Source organism: Homo sapiens, chromosome 2 (assembly GCF_000001405.40).
Source record: "Homo sapiens chromosome 2, GRCh38.p14 Primary Assembly".
Taxonomy (NCBI): Eukaryota; Metazoa; Chordata; class Mammalia; order Primates; family Hominidae; genus Homo; species Homo sapiens.
The window spans coordinates 131,674,812-131,696,113 of NC_000002.12; the positions used below are offsets into that span (position 1 = coordinate 131,674,812).

The following is a 21,302-nucleotide window of genomic DNA, read 5'->3' on the forward strand; positions in this document are numbered from 1 at the left end:
AATGAAGAGTTAATTGGCGATTTGAAGGAGGTGAAATGGACAAAAAGTAAATTTAGCAATTAGAATTTAAAGTCAGTAGATAATTAAGTCGAATAATTTATTCTTATGTCCATGTATTTTGGTTTTAAAGTTTTGATTAATACTCACTCAACACTAATTTCTAACAAATTAGAATATTATCACATTGTCTATTTTTACCAGTGAGCTTGTAATAAAGATCCACTAGTAATCTTAGTACACCAAAAGAAGCCCATAGAATAAACTAATTTTTAAAGAGTCACATTTTATTCAATGCCTATTTGTACATGTTACTAGCAATAAACTCTTTTATCTTTAATTTTGAGAAGTTTTACAAATACAGCAAAGCAGAATGACTAATAGAGCCGGTAACCAGGACACAGATTTGGAAAAATAGGTCTAATTGGTTGTTACACTGTGTTTATATCATACATTTCGCTTATTTTTATCAAAGAAAAATCAGAATTTATAAAATGTTAATTAAAAGGAAAACATTCTGAGTAAATTTAGTCCCGTGTTTCTTCCTCCAAATCTCTTTGTTCTACACTAACAGGTCAGGATAAGTATGGATGGGGAGGCTGGAAAAAGGGCATCCTTCCCCATGCGGTCCCCAGAGCCACCCTCTCCAAGCAGGACTTGGGGAACATCCTTCTCCATCTGGGACCTGAAGGATGTCCTTCTCCACCCAGGACTTGGGAGGTGTCTTATCCACCCAGGACTTGAGGGGGATCCTATTCCATTCAGGAGTGGGGGAAATTCTTCTTCATCTGGACTTGGGGGGCATCCTTCTCCATTTAGGACTTGGGGGGCATCTTTCTTCATCCAGGACTGGGGGGTTATCCTTCTCCATCCAGGACTGGGGGTTGTCTTTCTCCATCCAAGACTGGGGGGTTATCCTTCTCCATTCAGGACTTGGGGGACATCCTTTCCCATCCAGTAACTAGGGGGCATCCTTCTCCATCCAGGACTGAGGGGGATATCCTTCTCCATCTAGGACTGGGGGGCATCCTTCTCCATCCAGTATTGGGGGTCATCCTCCTCCATCCAGGACCTGAGGGGTGTCCTTTTCTGCGCTTCCTTGGATGGCAGGCTTTCCTATGCAGTCATTCAGAAAGTCAGGCTGACACATGTTGTCGTCTTGAACTCTGGAATCTCATCTCTATTCTAGGTGAATCCCTTCATGTTTATAGTGATTTACCATTAAATCACTGTGCCGTTTTTTCCTAAAATATATGGGGCGTGTTTTTTGTTCTGACTTCTGTTAGTCCTTTGGTCCCTAGCTCCAGTTTTTTTGTAATTTCTTTTGCAACCTAATATGGGTCCCATTTAGTAAGTATTACATATATTAGAAAATGTATATTCAGCATTTGTTGTGATTTTAAAATATTTTATAAACACATAACATCTTTGTCTATTTCCCATTTAAATTCAGAAGTATGAGTTCCAGCATCCCTCTCTAGACCTGCTCTTCCTGTTAGTTTCTTTGTACGTCCTGGAGGCGAGGCCAGCGTTGGACTTGACGTTGCTTCACCTACTCGGTTCTATTGTCCCTCCATGTGCAGTGTCTATCCTGTTGTTTATTATTTCTTCCTTAAATTTTATTTGAACTAAAATTAATTTTGTGGTAGCAGCTTGCTTTCTGTGAATATTTACTTAAAATTTTTATTCCCATTATTTTTCTTTCTTTAATTTGAAAGTGCTGCTTTGTTATTAACAATTTTGTATTTTAATATATGAGGTTAATCCCTCTAGGTTTGGTAGGAAAAAGTGATATATTTGAACTTATTTCTATCACTTGATTTTGGATTTTGTATCCCAAAACCTTATCCTCAATTCTCTTTTCCTTTTTTCAGATTTCTTTTCTTTTCTTTTTTTTGGGGAGCGGGGGGATGGAGTTTTGATCTTGTTGCCTAGGCTGGAGTGCAACGGGGTGATCTCGGCTCACCACAACCTCTGCCTCTCAGGTTCAAGCGATTCTTCTGCCATAGCCTCCAAGTAGCTGGGATTACAAGCATGTGCCGCCACACCTGGCTAATTTTGTATTTTTAGTACAGACAGAGTTTCTCGAACTCCCGATCTCAGGTGATCCACCCACCTTGGTCTCCCAAAGTGCTGGGATTACAGGCATGAGCCACCGCGCCTGGACTTCCAGATTTATTTTCAATCAACATTTCATTTTCCACTTCCTTCCTATGCTGGCTTTTAGGTTTTCCAGACTATTTACCTTTAGTGTCAAAAATTCTTTTGGGAACTTTTGAGTTGTCAACCAATATTGTAAGCATATTGGATATTGCTGTTTTTCTCCCAGTGCTCTGGTTATAATCTCTTCTATTAATACCTTGTAGTGTTATTGTTGGAGTTATTTTTTTCTATTAATTTCTGAGATATAAGAATTAGAATTGTCAAATTGTGGATTTATGCATTTATCCTTTTAATTCAATAACTTTTGCTTTGTGTATTTTGTTATTTTTCTTAGGTGCATACATGCTTATGATTATTAGGTTTTCTAAGCAAATCGACTCATTAGCATAAAACGTCCTTCTTTATCCCTGTTGATGCTTGTCTTTCTTGTAGTCTGTCTTATCTGCCATTAATACACTGGCTGCAGTTTTTGATAACAGAGATTTGCATGGTGTATATTAGTCCATCTTTTCAGTTTGAATCTATTTGTATCTTTACCTCATAAGTGTATTTCTTTTTAAAAGCTGATATTGAGGTTTCCTTTTTACCTACTTTGACAGTCTCTGTTCTGCCTTCCTGGTCTTCTTCTGGATTATTGTAGTTTTCATTTGTTTGTTTGTTTGTTTGTTTTATGGGGTTTTCTTTTTTTTTAGTATGGATTTTGTATCTTGTTTTTTTTTAACTATGACTCTTTGTTTCATTTATTTATTTTTAGTGAGTTCTTTAGAAATTAAAATAAAAATACTTAAAGTATATTAAATATCATAACACTGTATATAAAATATAAAAACCTTACCTTACCCTCCTCCCTCCTCTGATCTTTTGTGCCATGTTGTCATAGATTTTTCTTCTGCACATGTTGTAATTCCTGGAGGATGTCATTAAAATAGCAATTTCCCCTCCACATGTTTACTATTTTTGGCACACTTTCATCTTTTCTGAGAACTAGAATTTCCAATTGTTATCATTTTTCTTCAACCTGAGCAGCTTTCTTTTGCATTTATTGTGGTTTGGGTGTGATGGCAACACATTCTCTCAGACTTTCTTTAATTGAAAATGTACTTTTCTCAACTTCAGTTCTGAGGGCGGCTTCAGCAAGTTCAGAATTCTAGGGACACCTTTGACTTTGAACAGCATGAAGTCTCTGCTCAGCAGTGCTGTAGGCACCATCTAACATATTGTTATATCTAGTTGTGTCAAATCTGTCATCGGCCATAGAACGCTTTGACAGGTGCTTCTTGTTGCTTCAGTTCTAAGTATTTCATAGTTTTCAGAGATATGGAGAAGCAGCAGTGCTAGTAACAGTACCAGTAAAACCAGGATAAGCCCTAAAATAATTAAGAAGCCATCGCATGCACACACGTGAACGTTTGACTTCAGCTAAAATGCTTTCAAGTGTACTATTTTATCTTTACACAAGGTTATAATACAAATTAAAGATTTAAAAATATTTTCACTTTATATATGTGAAAACTGCAGCTCAAAGAATTTAAAAGACATGATTGAAATCCCATAACTAGGTAAACATGGTCAAATCTGGAGCCCTCATGTCTCGGTCCCCCCACGCCCTGTTACAGAGAGTGCGAGGCTTCACCAGGAAGCTCTTTCGGCTCAAGGATTAGCTCTGGGGAAGTGCTGCAGGCAGGCCTGCTTTGCATCCTTTTTCCAGCAGAAATCCTATGTTTGTTTCAAGCTTCTAGTTCTTTTTGTTTTGTTTTGTTTCTTACCAGCACGGCTCTGGGAGTTATTTACACAACTTAATTTTAAGAGAGACAGTCCCCATCACTAAGGTTCCTTGGAAACTTATCATGCAAAAAAATAAAAATAATAAATGCTGGTAGATAAGCATACAAACCACTCAGGAGAAAGACAGTGGCCACTCAGGTCATCAGGTGAACTTGTGACGGGGCCATCAAGAGGCTGCACGTGAGCTCCAGAAAATGAAATTCCCACTATCAACCTATTTTCCATTTCCACCCAATGCCCCGCCCCTGCTCCAAATCAAGGTTTCCGCCTCTTAGAAATGCTTGATTTTCAGTATTGCTAAACAGGGGTCAAAGAAAACAAGCTGAACAAAGAAACAAATAAAGCCTTTAACACAGTGAGCAAAGACACAGCACCCACCCCTTCCCTGGGCCCCGCAACAGCTCCAGAGCTGCGCAGCTGCTCCCAGAGCCTGAGCATGGACCTGAGCTCTGGCCCATGGAGCTCACCAATGCATTTCTTCCCTCTGTGTCAAAAAAGCATCAAGAAATTGGATTCATTTACCTGGGACATAAAATAAGGTATACCTATAGTTTTGTCCCAGAACTGTGTAAACCGGCATGCTGCCTGCCACAGTACAGTCCTCCCCCTGCATCAGGAGCTCAGATGGGGGAAGCCAGCAGGGCTGGAGGCCTGGGAGTCACAGATGCTTGGAGGGGAGAGAAAAGCACCACAGAGAGCCAGGCAGGACCTGCCTACAAGTCACATTTTTAGGGGTCTAGTGGTCTGGGCAGGCTGGGAGATGCTCTCTAAAGGGAAGGCAAGAAATATTGCCCCACATCTCCCACCACCAAACAGAAAGTGCAGGTGGTCAGCCCCAGGGCTCACCTGCCCTTTGCCAGGGTCATGAGCTAGGCCCAGCCTGCACCCTCCACACAACCATCAAGGGGACTTCCTGTCAGGCTGGGACAACTGCACCGGGCCCTGATGCCCTGGGAAGAACAGGGTTGCATTTAACAGAAACAGCTAAACCTGAAGGGATGAGCTTGCCTTTCCCCAGGGCCATGGGATGGTTTATAGAAAGTTCTACCCATCAGGACGAGACCTCACATGACACCATCAGAGGAATTGATACCATGCCATAGAGGGAGGAAGAGGGCGCATGCCATAGGTCCACTGGTCACAGCACACACATGCTCCTGGGAGCTTCAGACCCAGCAGTTTGGCTCAGGTGCCAGGTCAGGATGTGGGAGGACACAGTGTCTGGGTGAATCTGTCACCCTTGCTAGCTGCCTTGTCCCACCAGGTAGAAGATGCGGCAATGGGAGCACAGCAGTAGGAAGCCCAGTGTCCCCCAACCTTCCACCTCACACCCAGGACCTCTGAGGTGCATCTATATCCTGCACATCTAGGCTCTGAAAAGCAGGAGGTCCTGGTTTCCACAGCTGTGGGGCTTCTAGACAGGACAAGGCCAAATTCTCTGAAAAAACAAGCTCTGGGTGCTGCTTTGTCCTCAGGCTGCTCCTCCATGGGACCTGCGGGCAGAAAAATGTGTACCACCTGGACCGTGGTTTCAGCAGAAGCAGGGTTATGCTGCCTGGGGCAGGAGGGGCTCTACACAAGCGCCTCTCAATACACAGCATTTGATGGTACGTGGACAAGTGTGGGAGCCCTAGACCAAGGACTCCGTGGTGAGCAAGACTCAGGACCCCTTAGGGGTGAGGGCCTGGGTTACACCACCAGGGGGTCACCCGGACCCTCAGCAGAAGGTGGAGGGGGTGGTGATCATTACCTTTGTGACCCTGCAATGGGTGGCAGCCACAGGACATAGGGTTCATTGAACGCACCTTGTGTAACTATTGCCCAGGAAAAGGCCCAGAATTTAATAAAGATGAGGCCCCTGGCAGTGAAGTGCTGGATGAGGCGCACCCCCTGGGGCATACCTGAACCTCCCCCAGGGCCTCGGCTGTGAGCTTTGATTATAGACACACCTGTGCCACAGCCCCTTCAGACTGCTCCCTTCACCTCTGAAAAACCAGACAGGATGCTTCTGTTCCTGGAAATGTGAATGCCCTTCGTGTGTTTTTTACTTTGACTATAAACTCATCTGCAACCAAAATATAGACTCCCACACAATAATAACGGGAGACTTTAACACCCTAATGTCAACATTAGACAGATCAACGAGACAGAAAGTTAACAAGGATATCCAGGAATTGAACTCAGCTCTGCACCAAGCAGACCTAATAGACATCTACAGAACTCTCCACCCCAAATCAACAGAATCTACATTCTTCTTAGCACCGCACAGCACTTATTCCAAAATTGACCACACAGTTGGAAGTAAAGCACTCCTCAGCAAATGTAAAAGAACAGAAATTATAACAAACTGTCTCTCAGACCACAGTGCAATCAAACTAGAACTCAGGATTAAGAAACTCACTCAAAACCACTCAACTACATGGAAACTGAACAACCTGCTCCTGAATGACTACTGGGTATATAACAAAATGAAGGCAGAAATAAAGATGTTCTTAGAAACCAATGAGAACAAAGACACAACATACCAGAATCTCTGAGACACATTTAAAGCAGTGTGTAGAGGGAAATTTATAGCACTAAATGCCCACAAGAGAAAGCAGGAAAGATCTAAAATTGACACCCTAACATCATAATGAAAAGAACTAGAGAAGCAACAGCAAACACATTCAAAAGCTAGCAGAAGGCAAGAAATAAGTAAGATCAGAGCAGAACTGAAGGAAATAGAGACACAAAAAACCCTTCAAAAAAATCAATGAATCCAGGAGCTGGTTTTTTGAAAAGATCAACAAAATTGATAGACCGCTAGCAAGACTCATAAAGAAGAAAAGAGAGAAGAATCAAATAGACGCAATAAAAAATGATAAAGGGGATATCACCACTGATCCCACAGAAATACAAGCTACCATCAGAGAATACTACAAACACCTCTACACAAGTACACTAGAAAATCTAGAAGGAAATGGATAAATTCCTGGACACATACACCCTCCCAAGACTAAACCAGGAAGAAGCTGAATCTCTGAATAGACCAATAACAGGCTCTGAAATTGAGGAAATAATTAATAGCCTCTCCCTGGGAATGGGCGGGCCTGGGTCCAGTCCACAGGGCCCCTCGTGGGCCCTGATGAAGGAAAGAGTTGAGATGGGGGCAGCGCTGGACCCCAGGGCCCCTGCCTGCCTCCTGGAGAGCCCGGTGACCCAGGCAGCCCTGGTGAGGCTGTGGGTGCCTGGGCCATAGCGAGGCCCGCGAGCTCCCACAGGACAGATGCGGACAGTGAGGCCGGGGAGGCCCTGCTGCCCTCCGAACTGTCCCTCCAGCCCCCAGCTTTCTGTGGTTCTCTGGGCCCCCTCTGCAGAGGGGCAGGGGAGCCCACCCTGGATCCTGAGACGCCAAGCTTGAGGGACCCCCAGAGCTCTAGCGAGGCTGCTTCCTTTGCGGATGGTGAAGCTGAGGTCCAGAGGAGGGCAGGGGCAGGTCCTGGGCGCTCCCTAGGCAAAGGGAGCCGATCTCCGGGAGGCGGTCACAGGGAGCGCTCCTGCGACTTCTAGGGCCCGAAAGCTGGGGAGGATGAGAGACCAGGGGCCTTTCGTCGTCCCCTGGGCTGGGCAGAGGCTCAGCCTGTGCCGCAACCCTAAGCGGCTTCTGGCAAGTCCGAGCCGCGGTCCCTTTAAGAGGGGGTGGAGCTTCAACCTGGCACTAGGGATGCTGCTAGCGTGCGTGTCCCTACGGAGCTGAGACTGCAGTTCCTGCGACGCCCCTGCAGCAGCAGCAGCGTGGTCAGAGCGAGCTTCTGAGCGGTGGTGGGTTCCATGTGATGGTGGAGTAGGAGACAGGTCTCCGCGGTCAGTGGCGGGGGCGTGGACCCCACCGGGAACCCTCCCTGCTCCTTCCCTGCCTCTCCCTGTTTTCGTGCCCGCACTTCTTCGTGGGCATCTGGGCCCGAGTCCTCCGCTTGGGGGCGGTTGTGCGGTCCTGGCTACTGCAGCGTCCGCACCCCGGCCGGGAAGGCTATGCCAATGTCCGACCCGCGTCCAGCGTATAGGAGCGCCCTGGCCCACAGCTGGCGGTAAAACGCGGGACCTGGGTCCCTCGGAGCCCCAGGGGCCTCTGAGCTGGAGTCTAGGATTATTTTTGATGCCTCAGCACCTTTAAAAAGAGACCTCGCTAGAGCAGGGGGCATCTGTATTTTCAGTTCTTTGAGGAGTCTCCAGCTATTTAGCTGTTTTCCATGGTGTGTATCCTAATTTTCATTTCCACCTACAGTGTATGAGTTTCCCTTTCTCCAAAACCACACCCGCATTCCTACTATTTTTGGTTTGGGGTTTGTTTTGTTTTTGTTTTTGTTTTGAGACGGAGTCTTGCTCTGTCTTACAGGCTGGAGTGCAGTGGCGCCATCTCGGCCGACTGCAACCGCTGCCTGGTTTTAAGCAAGTCTCCTGTCTCAGCCTCCAGAGTAGCTGGGACTACAGGCGCCGCCACCATGCCCAGCTCATTTTTGTATTTTTAGTAGAGATGGGGTTTCACGATATTGGTCAGGCTGGTCTCAAACTCCTGACCTCAGGTGACCCACCTGCCTCAGCCTCGCAAAGTGCAGAGATTACAGGCATGAGACACCGTTCCCAGCCCCTCCTATTTTTTTAAAAAAATCAAGGAATATTCGATAAGTGTGAGATTATCTGTGTGTGGTTTTGAATTACAGTTTTCTAATGAATAGTTGATTTTGAGGACCTTATCTCTTATTTGTTGTTCGATTTTATGGCTGTGCAGAATTGTCTGTTCAGGTTCTTTGCAAAATATTAGATTGGATGCTTTTGCTACTTTGTAGTGTTTTTTGTGTACATATTAGATGACAACTCCTCGTGAATTACAAGATTGCCTGAAATTTTTGCCTAATCTATAGGATGCTTTTTTAATTGGAAAGTAGTTTTCTTTGATGTGCAGAAACTTTTCATGTTGATGTAGTCAACATGATATTTATTTTTGCGTTTCATGCATGTAATTTTCGTCACCCATATAAGAAAATAATATGTCAGTGACAAAGCATTTAATTGTCAATGAGGTTTTTCTTCCAGGGTGTTTATTTTCCTCTTTGCAAAGGTGAGCAGAGATTCAAGTGACCCAAAATATATGCTCATCCTGTGTTTTAGTTAAAAACATTTTGTAGTTTATGGTCTTTTGTTTTGCCTTCAATTTGGGGGAGTGGGTGTTCATTTTCATACATCGTGTAAAATAAGGTCCTATTTCTCGCTTCTGCATCTGGATATCATTTTTGTCAAAGGTATTCATTCTCTGCCTTCCACATTGCAGTGTTCTTTATCAAAGTCAGTTGATTGTGTCCATATTTGTGTTGATCATGTTTTTGTCCTCCCTGTTTTTGTCCATAGTTTATGCAAGTATCATATATCAGCTGTATAACTACAACTTGGCAGTGTAATTTGATATTAAGGATTGTGGGTCTTCACTTTGTATTTCTCAGGATTCCTTTAGATATTCATTGCTTTTGTGGTTCCCTGTGATTTTTAGCAATACGTATTTATTTCTGTTAACTTTTTTTCACAACATAAAGGTCCATAATTAGGGGTACATTTTCATACATACAGATTGGGTAATGATCAAATCAGGGTACTTAGGATCTCTATTTGCTCATCCAGGTTTTTTTTTTTTTTGTGGGGAGAACATTCAAAATTCTCCCTTCTTACTCTAGAAAAATATGATATTGTTAACTCCAGTCACCAGGCTGAGGAGGAGAACCTCAGATTTGTTCCTTTAATGTTAAGATAACTTTGTTTCCATAATCAATCCTTCCCCATTCCCCCTCTATCTCCCAAACTCTGGTAACCAATATTGTGCTTTTTACTTCATTAAGATAAACATCTTAAGATTTCACATGAGTGGTATCATGCAGTGTTTTTCTAGGCCTAGCTCCTTACATTTAACATAATGTTTTCCAGGTTCATCTGCGTTGCTCTAAATGGGACTGTTTCATTATTTTGATGGCTGAAGAATATTTCCTAGTGTATGTATATGAGAGTTTCTTGATCTCTTTATCTGTGGATGAACAGGTAGGTTGAATTTACACCCAGTAATGGGACTGCTAGATGGAATGGTATTTCTTTTTTTCCTATTCTTTGCAAGACCTCTAACTGTTTTTTATAGTGTTAATACTAATTTATGTTTGCACAAACAGTTCCCCTTTCTGGCAATTCATACCAGGAATTGTCTTTTTAAATATTTTGATCTTTTTGTAATGTTCATTCTATTGGAGTGAGATAAGATCTGAGTGTGGTTTTGATCTGCATTTTTCTCATGAGTAGTAATGTTAACCACGTTTTTGTAGACATTCGGTCAGTTTCCTGTCTTCTTTGGAAAAATATCTAATCCGGTTATTTGCCCAGTTTTTGTCTGGCAATTGTTCTGTTGTTTTGTTATTTTTTTGCCAGCTGGTAGTATGACTGGCTTGTACCTTTTCAAAAATAATCCCTTATCCCAAACTTGTAATTTTTAGTGTGCCTTTTTATTTTGTTTATTGTTTCCTTTGTTGGTCACAAATGCTTCAGCTTGACGTGGTCCCACATGTGCATAATTTCTTGGTGGCTGTGCTGTTGGTTACTAATCAAGAAAAAACAAAATCACTACCAAAGCAGTCCCTTGTCAATAATTTTTTTCCCTTGTATTTTTGTTTACTTTTTGTGAACCCTGAGCATACATCCAAGTTGCTCTAAATATACGCACACCCGAGGTTGTCTTTATAGGAGCTTTATGGTTGCAAGTTTTGTGTATAATCTTTAATCATTTTGAGTTGATTATTGTGTATCTAGTACCATAAGGGTCCTGTATTACCCTTTTGCATATGGATATCTAGTTTCGGAAGTCTTCCCTGTTGTGTCATTTTGGTGGTGTTTTGAAAAATGTGTTCATTCCATATAAATTTTTGTTTATTATTGAGCACATTCATTTTGCTCACTGGTCTGTGTTTCTCTGTCTATGCCAGTAACATATGGGTTTGTTAACTACGGATTTTCATTTAATTAGAACTCAGGGAATGTGATGCATCCCGTATGGTTTGTATTTCTCAGAATAGCTTTGGAAATTCAGGGTGTTTCACATTTCCACATAAATTTTGGCATTGTTTCTTTATACTTCCTAAAACACTATTTGTCATATACTAAATGTATACAATTAGAAGGTACAAGGAAGGTTTTCATACATGTATATGTTGAATAATGATAAAATCAGGTTATTTAGCATCTCTTCATCTCATATAGTTATTATTTTTGGTAACAACATTCAGAATCTTTCCTTCCAGCTACTTTGAAATATATGATACATTTGTGTTAAGGCTAGTCACGCTGCTGTGGAATAGAAGGCCAGAATTGATCACTATCATCTGAGAGTAACTTTGTACCCATCACTGATTCCTTCCGAGACTGCCTCCACTTCCCCAGCAGCCTCTGGTAAGCCCTATTGAACTTTCTACTTCTAGAAGATAAAGCTTTTTTCAGTCTACATGTGTGAGATCACGTGGCATGGGACTTTCTCTACCAGGCTTATTCTTTGGACCTTGTTCTTCAGATTTCTTCATGTGGCTGCAGATGGCAGGATTTCCCAAAGGTTTATGGCTGCAACATATTCCGTGGTGTATCTGTACAGCAGTTTCCTCATTCCTGCAGCTGTGTTTGAACAGGTAGGTTGGTTCTCTACCTTGGCCACAGTTAAGAGTGCTTTAGTACCCATGGGAAGGCAGATAGCTCTCTTCAACCTAGGGACTTCAACTGCTTTAAATGTGGAACCAGTGGTGGGGCTGTTAGCTGACATGGTAGTTGTACTGTGAATTTTTTTCAGAAACCTCTAGCTGTTTTTCATAGTGTGTATACTAATTTACATCCCCACCAATAGCGTTTAAGAGGTTACCTTTCTGTAAGTCTACACTGGATGTCACCTTCAAAAATTCGTGTTTTGTTTTTGGTAGTACTCATTCTGAGTGGAATGAGACAGAATCTTAGTGTGGTTTTCATGGACATTTTTTTGTGAGGTTTAGTGATGTTGAGAAAGTTATTTGAGAAATCCCCACATTGCTTTCCATGGTGTCCGAACTAGTTTGCATTTCCACCAACAGCAGACCAGCATCCCTCCTCCTCTGCCTTGCTGGTGTTCATTCTTGTGGACTGTGTCATAATTGTCATTCATCAGAATGTGTGAAATACTATCTCATGGGCCTTTTGCTTTGCATTTCTCTGATGATTCCTGAGGTAAAGAAATGTCTTGTCTGTTGGTTGCTGTAAACCTTCTTTTGAGATGCATGTTTTCATGCCCCTTACCCTTTCTTCATTGAGTTTTTGTTTTTCTGATTTATTTGCTTAATGTATTTGAAGTAGATTCTGGATATTAGACTTCATCAGATGCAGATGTGGGAACATTTTCTCCCATTGTGTAGGCTGTCTGTTTACTGTGTTGGTAATTTCTTCTGCTGTGCAGCAGCTCTTTTGTATATTAGGCCCCACTTGTCAATAATTGTTTTAGTTGCAATTGCTTTTGGGGACTTAGGCACAGCCATGCTCTGCCAAATCCTCTGTCAAGAAGGGTATTTCCAAGTTCTCTTGCAGGCTTTTCATAGTTTGAGGTCTTGCGTTTACATCTTCATTCATCTTGAGTTAATTTCTGTACAGGGTGAGACACAGGGGCCCACTGTTTTTCTTCTGCAACTGGCTAGCAGTTTATCCTGGCACCATCTATTGAGAGGAGGGAGTCCTTTCTCCAAAGCTTATTTTCGTGGATTTTTTTGAAGATCAGATGGTGTTAGGGGTGTGGGTTTACATCTGGGTCCTCTAATTTGTTCCACTGCTCTGTGTGAAATGGGGTCCCTAGCTTTTCAATGAAATTAAAAATCAGGAAGTGTGACACAACCAATGTAGTTTGGACTTCTCAGGATTGCTTTAGAAATTCAGGGTGTTTTGTGGTCTGCATGAATTTTAGCATTGTGTATTTACGTATTTTTTAAAAGGTTGGCCATATAGTAAAGGTATACAATGGGGGGAGTTAGAGTGGGGCATTTTGGTTAATGCAGACATAGAGGAATGTTAAAATCAGGATATTTAGAGTCTCTGTTATCACAAAGTTGTTAATTTCTTTATGGTGAAAACATTTGGAATCTTCTTTTCCAGATTTTGTGAAAAAGATGTGATGTTTTGTTAACCTCTGGTCACTGTGCTGTGGAACAGAGAGGAACAATTCATTCCTCTCATCTAAGTGTAATTTTGGACCTATTTCTGATCCCTGCCCATACCCCTGCTTCCCTCCAATCTCTGGAAACCACTGTTATGCTCTCTAGATCTATTGCAATAAAGCCTTTTATTTTGGGTTCTACATGAGTGAGATGTGGCAATGTTTTTCTTTCTCTACCTGGTTTAGGTCATTTACCATGCGGTCCTCCAGGTTCAACAGTATGGCTCCAAATGATGAAATTTCATTCTGATTTTCTGGCTGAAGACTATTCTGTTTGTGTATGTCCACCACAGTTACTTTATCCCTTCATCTGTGGATGGGCAGGTAAGTTTATTCCTTATCTTGGCGATTGTGAATAGTGCTGCAGTCCACATAGGATGGCTGACATCTCTTGCATAAACTGATTTCTTTGGCACTGAAAGTATACTTAGTAGTAGAATTGTTAGATGAAGTGGTAGTTGTAGGTTTAATTTTTGGAGGAACCTCCCACTGGTTTCTGTAGTATGTATACTAATTAACATTCTCTTTTTTTTTTTTTTTTGGATGGAGTCTCGCTCTGTTGCCCAGGCTGGAGTGCAGTGGCATGATCTCAGCTCACTGCAAGCTCTGCTTCCTGGGTTCATGCCATTCTCCTGCCTCAGCCTCCTGAGTAGCTGGGATTACAGGCACCCGCCACCACGCCTGGCTAATTTTTTGTATTTTTAGTAGAGACGGGGTTTCACCATGTTAGCCAGGATGGTCTCAATCTCCTGACCTCGTGATCTGCCGGCCTCGGCCTCCCAAAGTGCTGGGATTACAGGCGTGAGCCACCGTGCCCGGCTGTATACTAATTAACATTCTTACCAAACGAGTTCTTCTCTGGAAATTTCCACCAGCATTTGTGTCTTTTTTAATATATTTTATCACTTTGATAACATCCATTTGAATTATAGTGAGATGATATATGTGTTGTTTTGATTTATATCTTATGGTTTGTGATGTTATTCAAGTTTTTAAAACTCGTTTTCAATGTTATGTCTTTTTTGTAGAAATGTCTATTTAGGTTTTGTTTGGTTATTAGTTTCTCTTTTGTGTTTTTGCTAGTAAGTAGTGTTAGTTGCTTAGACATTTTGAAGACAGCCTTTTATCAGATATATGTTTGTTGAAACATTTCTTGTAGAATGAAACATATATGGAAATGTTCTGTGCAATAAAAACAGCAGTGGTAACACAGATGTAGGCTCTGAGTGTCTCACTGGAGACTGAAGTCCACAGATATGCAACAAAGCCTTTGTCTCCCTGATGTTTTTGCCTCCTGCTGGTCATGTGCTTTCACACATCAAGAGAGGACATTTAACATTTGAGCCACAGTGTCATTTGCTGTTGTCTGATGGGTGAGATTTTTGCTGGCGTAGTCCGTATTGTCATATGTTCTTGGGGCCCACAGGATTATTCTTGGTCATCTAAGATGTTACTGACATCTTATCACCTTAAGATGTTGCTGACTTAATCACCTTCAACTGACTCCTATTCATTCTTTGAAATAAGCAGACACATGTTGTTTCAGTGATTCTTTCAGTTGGTGATTTGCCTGGTGCATTGCTATGTGAGGTCACCTCCTGTCAAATGACCCACAGGTGGTAACAGTCTGTGAACAAACAGTTTACAGGAGGGACCAACCATGTGCGGACGGACATGGGGTGGGTCATTTCAAAGTGAGGTAGTCAACCTGGGCCCTAGACTGGCACAGACAGAAGAAGCCACAATCCTTTAGAGAGAAAAAAATTACAAAGTATAAATATCCGTTGTTAAGAGAAACAGACCATTTTCAGAGGGCGTAATAGTATTAAAATGTGTTCTCATTGTTCAGCTCCCACTTATGAGTGAGAACATGCAGTGTTTGGTTTTCTGTTCCTGTGTTAGCTTGCTGAGGATGATGGCTTCCAGCTTCATCCCTGTCCCTGCAGAGGACTTGATCTCATACCTTTTTATGGCTGTGTAATATTCCATGATGTACATGTAGTACATTTTCTTTTTCCAGTCTATCATTGATGGGCATATGGGTTGGTTCCAAGTCTTTACCATTGTGAATAGTGCTGCTATAAACATACATGGAGCAGATGGTGCTCAAAGCAAGATGGACCTCTGAGCAAGATGAGCTCTAAGCTTGATGGAGCTCAGAGCAGATGGAGCTCCAGGTGAGATGGAGCTTCAATTAATATGAAGCTTGGAGCAGATGTTGCTCAGAGTATGATGGAGCTCCAAGCCTATGGTCTCACAGCAAGATGGAGCTCCGAGCAAAATGGAGCTCAGAGCAGATGGTACTCAGAGTAAGATGGAGCTGGGAGTGACTGGGGCTCTGAGCAAGGTGGAGCTAAGAGCAGATGGTGCTCAGAGCAAGATGGAGCTTGGAGCAGATGGAGCTCTGAGCAGATGGAACTCAGAGCAACATGGAGCATGGAGTGTCCAGCTCAGAGCAAATATAGCTCAGACAAGAAGGAGCTCCAAGCAAGATGGAGCTTGGAGCCGAGGTTCCTCTGTGTAAGATGGAGCTCAGAGCAAGATAAAGCTTGGAGTCATTGGAACTCTGAACATTGCTCTGAGCAGCTGGAACTCTGAGCAAGATGGAGCTCTGAACAAGATGGTGCTCAGAGCAGGTGAAACTCTGAGCAATAAGGAGATCTAAGCAAGATGGAGCTTGGTGCAGATGTTGGTCAGTTTCAGATGGAGCTCAGAGCAGATGGTGCTCAGAGCATGATGGAGCTCAGAGTGATTAGAGCTCCAAGCAAGAATGGAGCTCAGAGAAGATTGAGCTTGGAGCAGATAGAGCTCTGAACAAAAAGGAGCTCCAAGCAAGATGGAACTTGGAGCAGATGTTGCTCGGTGTAAGATGGAGCTCAGAGCAGATGCTCATAACAACATGGAGCTTGAAATGATTGGAACTTAAAAACTTTGCTGTGGAGGATTGGAGCTCTGAGCAGATGGTGATCAGAGCAAGATCAGCCTCGGAGTGATTAGAGCTTCGAGCACAATAGGGCTTGGAGGAGATGCAGCTCTGAGCAAGATGTAGCTCAGAAAACATGTTGCCCACAGTAAGATGTAGCTTGAGCAGATGGTGTTCAGAGCAAAATGAAGCTGGAAGTAATTGGAGCTCTCAGCAAGATGGAGCTCGGAGCAGATGGAGCTTGGAGCAAATGAAGTTCTGAGCAAGAAGGAGCTCTAAGCAAGATGGAGCTTGGAGCAAATGTTGCTCTGTTTCAGATGGAGCTCAGAGCAGATGGTGCTCAGAGCAAGACAGAGCTCAGAGAACATGCTGCTTACAGTAAGATGGAGCTTCGAGCACATGATGCTCAGAGCAAAATGGAGCTGGAAGTGATTGGAGATATCAGCAAGATGGAGCTAGAAGATGCAGCTCCGAGCATATGGAGCTCTGAGCAGAGGGTGCTCAGAGCAAGATGGAGTTTGTTGTAATTGGAGCTCTGAGAAAGATGGAGCTTGGAGCAAATGGAGCTCTGAGCAAAGTGGAGCTCAGAGTGATGGGAGCTCTAAGCAAGATGGAGCTTGGAGCAGATGGAGCTTCAAGCAGATGGTGCTCAGAGCAAGATGGAGCTTGGAGTGATTGGATCTCTGAACCAGATGGAGCTCAGATCAGATAGACCTCTGAGCAAGAAGGAGCTCCAAACAAAATGGAACTTGGAGCAGATGTTGCTGGTGTAAGATGGAGCTCAGAGCAGATGGTACCCAGAGCAAGAGGGAGCTCAGAGTGATTGGCACTCTGAACATTGCTTTGAGCAATTGGAGCTCTGAGCAAGATGCAGTTCAGAGCACGTAGAGCTCTGAGCGAAAAAGGAGCTCTAAGCAAGATGGAGTTTGGAGGAGATGTTGCTTGGTTTTAGTTGGAGCTCAGAGCAAAATGGAGCCCACAGTGATTACAGCTCCAAGCAAGGTGGAGCTCAGAGCACATGTAGCTCAGAGTAAGATGAGCTCCGCCTACATGGTGCTCAGAGCAAAATGGAACTAGAAGTGATTGGAGCTCCCAGCGAGATGGGGCTTGGAGTGATTGGAACTCCCAGCAAGATGGAGCTCAAAGTAGATGGACCTCTGACTAGATGGAGCTCTGAGTAAGATGAATGTCTGTGCGGATGTTGCTCACAGCAAGATAGTGCTTGGAGCGATTGGCACTTCGAACAAGATGGAGCATGGAGCAGATGGAGCTCTGAGCAAGATGGAGCTTGGAGTAGATAGAGCTTGGAGCAAGAAGGAGCTCCAAGCAAGATGGAGCTTGCAGCAGGTGCTTCTCAGTGTAAGATGGAGCTCAGAGAAGATGATGCTCAGAGTAAGATTGAGCTCGGTGATTGGCACTCCAAACATTGCTCTGAGCCCATTGGAGCTCTGAGCAAGAAGGTGGGAAGTGAGCAAGAAGGTGAAGAAGTGATACAATCCCACAGAACATTACAAGTTTAGTGGGAGCCATTATTAAATGTAAAGAGAAGAATGCCCCAGAATTCTATGTGGATTGTCAGGGGACAATACTCATTTCTGTAATCAGGCATACTTTCTTTGAAAAAGTTTATCATATCAAACCTCACAAGGACAACCAGAACTCTGTGATATCCACTCTACAAACCTCAGATCCCTACAGTGTAGTAAAGGTGATAGCCGAGATAGAAAGACAGAAACACACTGTTTGACGACCAATCTTTGGAAGTTGAGATGGCAAATGTGGATTTACTCAGATTATTTTCCTGTTAGCACCTCCAGGTGTAATTTTGACAGTACTTTGCATTGGGCTAATGACACAATGGGGAAACATAAACTGCTGACACTGGACTTCAGCAGTACAGTAACAGCCATGTGCAAGGCCATTGAAAAAGTAAAGACTGGTGGTTACATTGCCACATGTTTTTCTGCATGGCATCATCATCTTAACTATGGACTTTATGTGCTTTCACAGCAAGATGTTTCTAGTATTTAGAAATGGACCTTATGCATCGTATACTTCATAAGAGCTTGAAAAGCTCTCACCCAGGTATTACCAAATGCCAGACATCTCTCTATGTAGGCCATTTTCTGCCACAGCCAGAATTCATTCTGGGTGACATGCTGTTCTTGGCTGCTAAGGAAGTGATATGGGGGAGCCAGGTGTCTCTCGCTGTCTGTGAGTCTATGGGAAAAAGGAGAACACTGAAAGGCACTAAGTTTACTGCCACGTTTAGAGGAACTTGTGAAGGCAACACAAGAGTGTTGTAGTCCTATGTGGCCAACACCAACCTGAGTTTTTACAACAGTTATTGCATAATGATCACAATCACATTCAAGTTCACATTCTAAATCTTAGATTCTACAAAAACTCTGTCTGATAATATCCTATAGACCTTTTGGTAGCTAAAATCAATGAGTTTGAAAAATTTTTATGAGGCCAGCATCATTCTGATACCAAAGCCGGGCAGAGACACAACCAAAAAAGAGAATTTTAGACCAATATCCTTGATGAACATTGATGCAAGAATCCTCAATAAAATACTGGCAAAACGAATCCAGCAGCACATCAAAAAGCTTATCCACCATGATCAAGTGGGCTTCATCCCTGGGATGCAAGGCTGGTTCAATATACGCAAATCAATAAATGTAATCCAGCATATAAACAGAGCCAAAGACAAAAACCACATGATTATCTCAATAGATGCAGAAAAGGCCTTTGACAAAATTCAACAACCCTTCATGCTAAAAACTCTCAATAAATTAGGTATTGATGGGACGTATTTCAAAATAATAAGAGCTATCTATGACAAACCTACAGCCAATATCATACTGAATGGGCAAAAACTGGAAGCATTCCCTTTGAAAACTGGCACAAGACAGGGATGCCCTCTCTCACCACTCCTGTTCAACATAGTGTTGGAAGTTCTGGCCAGGGCAATTAGGCAGGAGAAGGAAATAAAGGGTATTCAATTAGGAAAAGAGGAAGTCAAATTGTCCCTGTTTGCAGATGACATGATTGTATATCTAGAAAACCCCATTGTCTCAGCCCAAAATCTCCTTAAGCTGATAAGCAACTTCAGCAAAGTCTCAGGATACAAAATCAATGTACAAAAATCACAAGCATTCTTATACACCAACAACAGACAACAGAGAGCCAAATCATGAGTGAACTCCCATTCACAATTGCTTCAAAGAGAATAAAATACCTAGGAATCCAACTTACAAGGGATGTGAAGGACCTCTTCAAGGAGAACTACAATCCACTGCTCAAGGAAATAAAAGAGGATACAAACAAATGGAAGAACATTCCATGCTCATGGGTAGGAAGAATCAATATCGTGAAAATGGTCATACTGCCCAAGGTAATTTATAGATTCAATGCCATCCCCATCAAGCTACCAATGACTTTCTTCATAGAATTGGAAAAAACTACTTTAAAGTTCATATGGAACCAAAAAAGAGCCCGCATCGCCAAGTCAATCCTAAGCCAAAAGCTGGAGGCATCACACTACCTGACTTCAAACTATACTCCAAGGCTACAGTAACCAAAACAGCGTGGTACTGGTACCAAAACAGGGATATAGATCAATGGAACAGAACAGAGCCCTCAGAAATAATGCCGCATATCTACAACTATCTGATCTTTGACAAACCTGAGAAAAACAAGCAATGGGGAAAGGATTCCCTATTTAATAAATGGTGCTGGGAAAACTGGCTGGCCATATGTAGAAAGCTGAAACTGGATCCCTTCCTTACACCTTATACAAAAATCAATTCAAGATGGATTAAAGACTTAAACGTTAGACCTAAAACCATAAAAACCCTAGAAGAAAACCTAGGCATTACCATTCAGGACATAGGCATGGGCAAGGACTTCATGTCTAAAACACCAAAAGCAATGGCAACAAAAGCCAAAATTGACAAATGGGATCTAATTAAACTAAAGAGCTTCTGCACAGCAAAAGAAACTACCATCAGAGTGAACAGGCAACCTACAAAATGGGAGAAAATTTTCGCAACCTACTCATCTGACAAAGGGCTAATATCCAGAATCTACAATGAACTCAAACAAATTTACAAGAAAAAAACAAACAACCCCATCAAAAAGTGGGCGAAGGACCTGAACAGACACTTCTCAAAAGAAGACATTTATGCAGCCAAAAAACACATGAAAAAATGTTCATCATCACTGGCCATCAGAGAAATGCAAATCAAAACCACAATGAGATAGCATCTCACACCAGTTAGAATGGCAATCATTAAAAAGTCAGGAAACAACAGGTGCTGGAGAGGATGTGGAGAAATAGGAACACTTTTACATTGTTGGTGGGACTGTAAACTAGTTCAACCATTGTGGAAGTCAGTGTGGCGATTAATCAGGGATCTAGAACTAGAAATACCATTTGACCCAGCCATCCCGTTACTGGGTATATACCCAAAGGACTATAAATCATGCTGCTATAAAGACACATGCACACGTTATGTTTATTGCGCCATTATTCACAATAGCAAAGACTTGGAACCAACCCAAATGTCCAACAAGGATAGACTGGATTAAGAAAATGTGGCACATATACACCATGGAATACTATGCAGCCATAAAAAATGATGAGTTCACGTCCTTTGTAGGGACATGGATGAAATTGGAAATCATCATTCTCAGTAAACTATGGCAAGAACAAAAAACCAAACACCGCATATTCTCACTCATAGGTGGGAATTGAACAATGAGATCACATGGACACAGGAAGGGGAACATCACACTCTGGGGACTGTTGTGGGGTGGGGGGAGGGGGGAGGGATAGCATTAGGAGATATACCTAATGCTAGATGACGAGTTAGTGGGTGCAGTGCACCAGCATGGCACATGTATACATATGTAACTAACCTGCACAATGTGCACATGTACCCTAAAACTTAAAGTATAATAATAAAAAATAAATAAATAAATAAATAAATAAAAGAAAAATAATTTGAATTTGGCTTGCTTCCATTTTCAGCAGAACGCACTTGTGAGTCCTGCTCTGTCATTGTATTTTACATGTGTGGCTGTCCCTCTTGCTGTGTTGGAAGTCAGTGTTCCAGAATGTTAACTTCCACAAATACCTATATATAGAGGAAACAGAAAACTCTTCAAGTCAAAAGAGTGTATGTTGTTTCAGGGCAGTTCTCT

General features: G+C 42.5%; 1 long non-coding RNA gene across 7 annotated transcripts in view, besides 2 other annotated features; it reads left to right on the forward strand.

The window, feature by feature from the left end:
• Positions 7,121-7,240: an enhancer, noted in NCBI's record as "active region_16539". NCBI's record gives its function as "activates an Ori minimal core promoter by ATAC-STARR-seq in GM12878 lymphoblastoid cells {active_cell/tissue: GM12878}" and the evidence as "EXISTENCE:reporter gene assay evidence [ECO:0000049][PMID:35858748]".
• Positions 7,611-7,660: a silencer, noted in NCBI's record as "silent region_11970". NCBI's record gives its function as "represses an Ori minimal core promoter by ATAC-STARR-seq in GM12878 lymphoblastoid cells {active_cell/tissue: GM12878}" and the evidence as "EXISTENCE:reporter gene assay evidence [ECO:0000049][PMID:35858748]".
• LINC03124 (long intergenic non-protein coding RNA 3124) overlaps positions 7,688-21,302 on the forward strand; it is an 84,906-nt gene continuing 71,291 nt past the window's right edge. For 4 of the 7 annotated variants that reach the window (NR_167888.1, NR_167889.1, NR_167887.1 and 1 more), the window contains exons 1-5: positions 7,688-8,177; positions 9,898-10,008; positions 11,253-11,400; positions 11,519-11,630; positions 13,355-13,492. This is a non-coding gene — a long non-coding RNA (long intergenic non-protein coding RNA 3124). The remainder of the gene's footprint in view (positions 8,178-9,897; positions 10,009-11,252; positions 11,401-11,518; positions 11,631-13,354; positions 13,493-21,302) is intronic. The other 3 variants (NR_149013.2, NR_149014.2, NR_149015.2) reach the window with 2 other exon arrangements.